We start from the raw sequence: 6000 nt of genomic DNA, 5'->3' as shown, positions 1-6000 counted from the left end.
TCTCCCAAATAGGACAGGCTTGTTAGCTAGGTGGCAGCTTCCTGGATCATCTCAGCTCTGTAACCAATGAAAATTCTAAGTTTGGATGGGGCATATTTATTTTCACTTTTACCATTTTGATTTTCAAAAAAAAAACAAGAAAAACATCCCAAGAACATTGAGGTTTGTTCTCTGTCCCTGAAGAGCATATATCCTAGTTGGTAACAAAATACCATGTCTTCAATATGACTGTAAAAACCTAGAAGTTTGTAATAAAGCATGAATACTAAAATAACTACCCAGAGGTCTATAACTGAGGTGTACATGATATAATGTAGTCATTTGGAGGACCTGGAGATTCATCCAGTCTGCAAAGAGAAAAACCCGTGGGGAAAGACTTGGGCCTGAAACGGTGGGCAGGATTCGGATAGACATCAAGGAGAAATAAATTAGTCAGCAACTCAAAAACCACGTGAGGCATTTCAACATGAAGTTCATATAGGGAATGCTTGCTCAGGTTTTAGAAATCTAAAACACAAAAAGGTAACACAGAGTTGAAAACTGCAGCAAACAGCTCCCACTCACTATGGTGGGGAATAAAGGAAAGGAGTTGGTATCAGAAACTAGAAAGTGAGAAGAGAGATCCCGGCATGTGGGCTTAGACCTCTGAAGAGAAAGTGCATCCTGGCTGCCGTCAGTACCTCAGGAGCTCCTAGGATTGGGGTCTTGTGGAGCTGAGACTCAGTATCTGAAAAGGAGACACTTCCTAGATGACCCTGGCACCTCTGAAGGTGCAATGAGCCTGGGTCTGCAGGCACTTTTCAAAATCTGGAAAGTGAAACAAACTGTTCTATCACTGCCAGGGTGAAGGGCTGTTGCCCTATAATAAAGTAACAGAGAATGAACAGGCTCCTGGGGCCCTCTAGTGTCAGAATCTAACAGGGAACCGCAAGCAAAAGAGAAATATGTTTTGCAGAGCCCAAGCCCCACATCTCAAAGCCCAGTACTTGAGGGTGGATTCAGGGCTGGGACACAATCATGTGATAACTGGCACATATGACAACTGGCATCATTTTTATATTGAATTTGTGTGTTTATGTGAGTTTTCCTACTACAAGTTACCCCACTGCAAGAAGTTTTAAAAGTGTTATTTCCAGACCTTATTGCAGAGGTAAACTTATACCTTTACATGTTTGTTGCAAAGTAAATTGAATAGAAATTAAGAAATGATTAAAAATTTCTTATAAAATTCCTTTTTCCCTGCGCTTAAGATCCAAATCTGAACTTCAGAAAACCTGGACTCTAGATCTGCCTCAGTTACTGGAATATGTAGTGCTCATGCAAATATATACTGCTTATTCCCTCACACAACCCTAAAACCAGCAACACATTGCTTTACCCCATGGTCCTCAATGTTTCTTCCCATATCCCAAATTATCATGCTAATTTTGGCAATATACAGATGATTTTTTAAAAAAAATTAAATTGTATTAGTAAACAAGTTATTTTGACATTTGTCTAAGAATTATAATAAACACAATTTATGACATAGAAATATGACCTTTGCACTTCCAAATTTCTCCAAATGCTAAACTGCTCATGTCAGACTTCCACTGAAGTTTTTGTTATAGAAGACCAGATAATAACAATTACTATACTTATACTATCTCTTCTAGGATATAATGGAAGCACTAAGATTTAAAATTCTATCAGGCTTCCATTTGATCCAATTTTATAACTACTTAACTAACATTATTTGCATTGAATAAGAGATAATTCAGAATTAGTTGACACAAGGGACCAAAGAATTCCTCACTATGGTTTTGGATCTTTGGATTGAGTTTTATTTGAAAGCTCAGCTAACCCTAAGTGCGGGTCACATCTACCTTCAGGGTTTTCAAATGGGAGGGGAGGAATACAGCAATTAGGAGAGAATAACTTGGCATTGTAAATGGAGAGTGTGTTAGGTCCTGGAAATCACTTAGGAGAACAAGCACTTGGGGAACATCCATATATACTCTCCAAAGAAGGGCGAGCAAACAGAAGTCTTTGGAACATGAAATGCCCCTGGAGTTCATGAGAATGTTTGGGACTCTGACTGTGAGATGGCAGAACTATGCTTGAGCCAGCCATTCCACTTTCAGGTGGGGGAGACAAGTCACTTGTTCTCATCAGGTACATCTTTGTAGTATTTCTATCGGACTTTATTTCCATTTAAGGTGTACTGAAACTTCTGAAGTCTTCAGATTCAGCAAGTCTATCAAAGTCAAAAGGCTTTTTGGAGCAAGATCTGGATCAGAATGGAATCGTTCTAGGGAAATCATTTGTCTTTTATCCTAAGTTTCTTCAGGTCCTCACAGGACAACTATGGATTCTAGATTTCTGAGCCCACCTAGCTTAACCTTCCTTAGTGATCTGATATTCCAGGGAAACATATTGTCCTGGGCCTTTCCAAAGTGGCCCTGTTAGAACAGGAGCATGTGGATCCTCTTCCCAAAAGCTGCATGTGATCTTGGCTTCAATATACTTTGTTGGTTGTATGCATTTTATGTTCCTTTATATATAAAATATAAAATAAATATAAAATGCATACAACAAATTTTTAATTTTTTAAAAAATAGAGATGAGGTCTCACTATGTTGGCCAGGATGGTTCTGAACTCCGGCTTCAAGCAATCCTCCCACCTTGGCCTCCCCAAGTGCTGGGATTAAAGGCATGAGCCACAATGCCTGGCTCATTTTATTTTCTTATGTAACTAAGTTTTTCTCAGCAAGCAGATTCGATGACCTCCAGTTATCATAATTTTTCCTCATGGGAACTCATCTGGCATTGTGAAGAACAAATAGCACTTTCAGGATTTTCTGTAAGACGTTTGGCCCATTTTCTGTAGAAATGCAACTTTCATGTGCATGGCTCAGATCATCATCTATTTTGGGACATTTTTTTTCTCCATATTAAGTGGAGCAAACATTGTCCAGACTTTCATTTCTTTCTGTTGTCATGCCGCTAACTCTGCTGAAGACTTTAAAAGTCACTTCAAATTGGGTGTTTTCTGTGTGCATAGATTCTTTCCAGTTTGTATATATTTAATATGATCTGAAAGTGCTTCTTCTATATTTTTTTCAGCCAGTTCAGCATGTTTAATTTCTTTTTCCTCCAAAAGGTTTCCAAGAAACACTTGAGGTCACATGATAAATCAGTTTCTCCAATGATTCTTTTGATGAATCATGAAAGAATGTCCATTTTCTTTAAAAAAAAAAAAAAGGGGGAAAAAAAAGACTGTCCATATTCTAACTTATTGCTTATATACAATTCTAATTTACACCATCCATATTATCCTCTCCAAGTATAGCAGCTAGATTGGTCAGCTTTATCCACTCTTGAGAAACTTGATATAACATTCCTTATCAGTAGCATTTCTTGCATATGCACCATAGAATCCTTAGCCAAGAGACCCACTGGCCTTTGTTTGTTTAATGGTGTGTGTGTGGGTGTGTTTGCACACGTCTGTGTGGTAGCACTGAATTCCAAAGAAAAAACTAAACAAGCCAACCAGAAGTCCAACATGGAATATAGTGATCCGTAGAAAAGGGCATTCTACATTGAGCCACCAACCCAAATCTCTGAAAATGGCAAATACAGAATTCTTGGTCGTAAAATAGATTATGAGGTTTGTCTATTCCTAAATAATAGACATTTACATCCTTCCTAACTGGTATCTTCATCCAATCCCAGGGAGCACCTCCTCTCAAAACTCCCCATAATTGCTGTTGAAAGATCTATCCAGTTTCTTTTGTCTGTTTCAGCCTAGGTTCTCAGAGAGACATCTTTTAAAGACAAAGATGGATATATCAAAACTCCAATAAGCCATTCCAAAATATCATAAACAAAGAGGCCACCCTAACTTGCCTGTTTAATATTGCAAACCACATACCTCCCACTCCCTGGTCCCCTTACCCTGCTTGACTTTTTCTTTGCTCCATAGAACTTATTACCTTCAAATAGATACAATTACTTATTTGTGTTTATTATGTGTTTCTCCCCAGCTTGAAAAATCCACCCTAGTCTCTGCTGTGTACTGTTGATGTATCCGAATGCCTAGAACTGTGCCTAGCTTTTAGCAGACACTCAATAACTGTTAGTTGGGAGACTAAACGAATAGAGGACATCCAAGAGTCAACAGTTCAAGTTGAGGACATCATCCTAATGTAACCTGACTCTTGGGCTTAAATGTCACTGAAAGGACTAGAAAGACAAATAGGGTAGTGAATATCACAACATCCACCCACCCCCTACCCATCATCGTACTTCAAAGGTCAACCCACATATGCTTAAGAAAATGAGAAAAACAGGAACAAATTTAGAAAATCCTAATATTCAGAATAAAACCCAGAAGAAAATGATTAGAAGGTATACATACTGGAGAATGAGAGGAAGGCAGAAAGAAAAAGAGGAAGCAGGAAGACAGGCAGAAAAGAAATAAAATCTGTCACCAACTTACTCTTTAAAACACAAATATAAAGTATGATCGCAATTTCAGGCTCGCAGTTTGGTGGACAAGCACTAATGTATAGGAGTTTCTGGTTTCATGTCCTGGTGTTTGGCCCCTTACTTTCCCTTAATATTTGTATCAGATTTTCCATTAAATGGTTTTCCCCTCTGCTCTTGCTGGTGTCTTTCTCATTTAATATATTTCCTTCTATGCAACAGCCTTCCAGTGGTTTCTCTCTCAACTGAACTATCAGTGAAAACTTCCTTATTGAACCGAAAATAAATTCTTTCCTTTGATTCTACTCATACTTATTTTGCAAAACGCACCAGTCCCGCGTCCTGCTCTCCACCCAATTAACACTCTTATGTTCCTAAGAATAATATCTGTATTATTACAAACCTCTGTGTTTTGTTGTTGTTGTTGTTGTTGTTGTTGTTTGAAACGGAGTCTTGCTCTGCCACCCACGCTGGAGTGCAGTGGCGCGATCTCGGCCTACTGCAACCTCTGCTTCCTGGGTTCAAGCAATTCTCCTGCCTCAGCCTCCCAACTAGCTGGGATTACAGGCGCCCGCCATCACGCCCGGTTAATTTTTGTATTTTTAGTAGAGATGGGTTTCACCATGTTGGCCAGGCTGATCTGGAACTCCTGACTTCGTGATCCGCCCGCCTCGGCCTCCCACAGTGCTGGGATTACAGTGTGAGCCACGGCGGCAAGCCTATAAACCTCCGTTTTTAAAACACATTAACATAGCAACAATGAGAGTCAAAAAAAGGGAAAACATTTTTCCAATACACGGAGAAGTAGCCTCCTTTCTAATGTATTGTTTAGACTGAAAAAAAGTAAAATAACCTTGTTGGAATGGAGATATTCCACCACATTCATTTCTGTGGCACAATTGGTTAGCGCGTTCGGCTGTTAACCGTAGGGTTGGCCGTTTGAGCCTCGGGTGCCGGAATTTCATGAGAAACGGTATTTTCTTACTTCAGGGATTGTGTCTGGCAAATTAAATGAAAATCCAACCATTATTCTTCCCCTGGTGTTCCTTGGGTATTTTCATTTCCTTGTTTCTTGATTAAATTTACCAAGCTCCTTCTAAATGCCAGTAGATATGAAAGCAATCCCATGTTTCTGAACCACTTGTTTTGTTTCCAAACTCCATCTCTCTCATGTGCTGGTCCATCCAGTAGAGTCCCCACAGCAAAAAGCAGCAGAAGTCACTCGGCCAAGGTCTTGCAGAGCTTGCCCCCTACACTGAGCTGGCGTCGCCTCTACCTGAATCAGTTCCTTGGGTCAGGCTTTGGACGTCACAATAGAGCACGAATAAAAGGGGTGGAGACCTCTAGCTAGGTTTCCACCTGTATTCCTGTGACTGGTATTTTCCTGTGACTGGTATTTTCCTAAATTATCAGACTCTCAATTTTTTTCTTGCTAACAAAATAAATACCAAAGATGGTCTCTCTTAGACTCTGCAATTCCGCTTCTGACAATTTTTACACAATAGCTGTATTTGTACAACTAAAATTGACTCA

The 6000-nt window shown here is 39.5% G+C and overlaps 1 long non-coding RNA gene across 1 annotated transcript; it reads right to left on the bottom strand.

Moving 5' to 3' along the window:
• Window positions 1-1800: 1800 nt before the first annotated feature.
• Window positions 1801-5729, bottom strand: LOC105374989 (uncharacterized). Its single transcript, NR_187833.1, has 2 exons — window positions 4871-5729; window positions 1801-3806 (listed from the first exon to the last, which is right to left on the bottom strand). It is a non-coding gene; the product is annotated as an uncharacterized LOC105374989 (long non-coding RNA).
• Between the last annotated feature and the right edge of the window lie 271 nt (window positions 5730-6000).

The sequence above is a fragment of the Homo sapiens genome, chromosome 6 (genome assembly GCF_000001405.40).
Source record: "Homo sapiens chromosome 6, GRCh38.p14 Primary Assembly".
NCBI lineage: Eukaryota > Metazoa > Chordata > Mammalia > Primates > Hominidae > Homo > Homo sapiens.
This window is presented reverse-complemented; position numbering and strand designations above follow the sequence as displayed.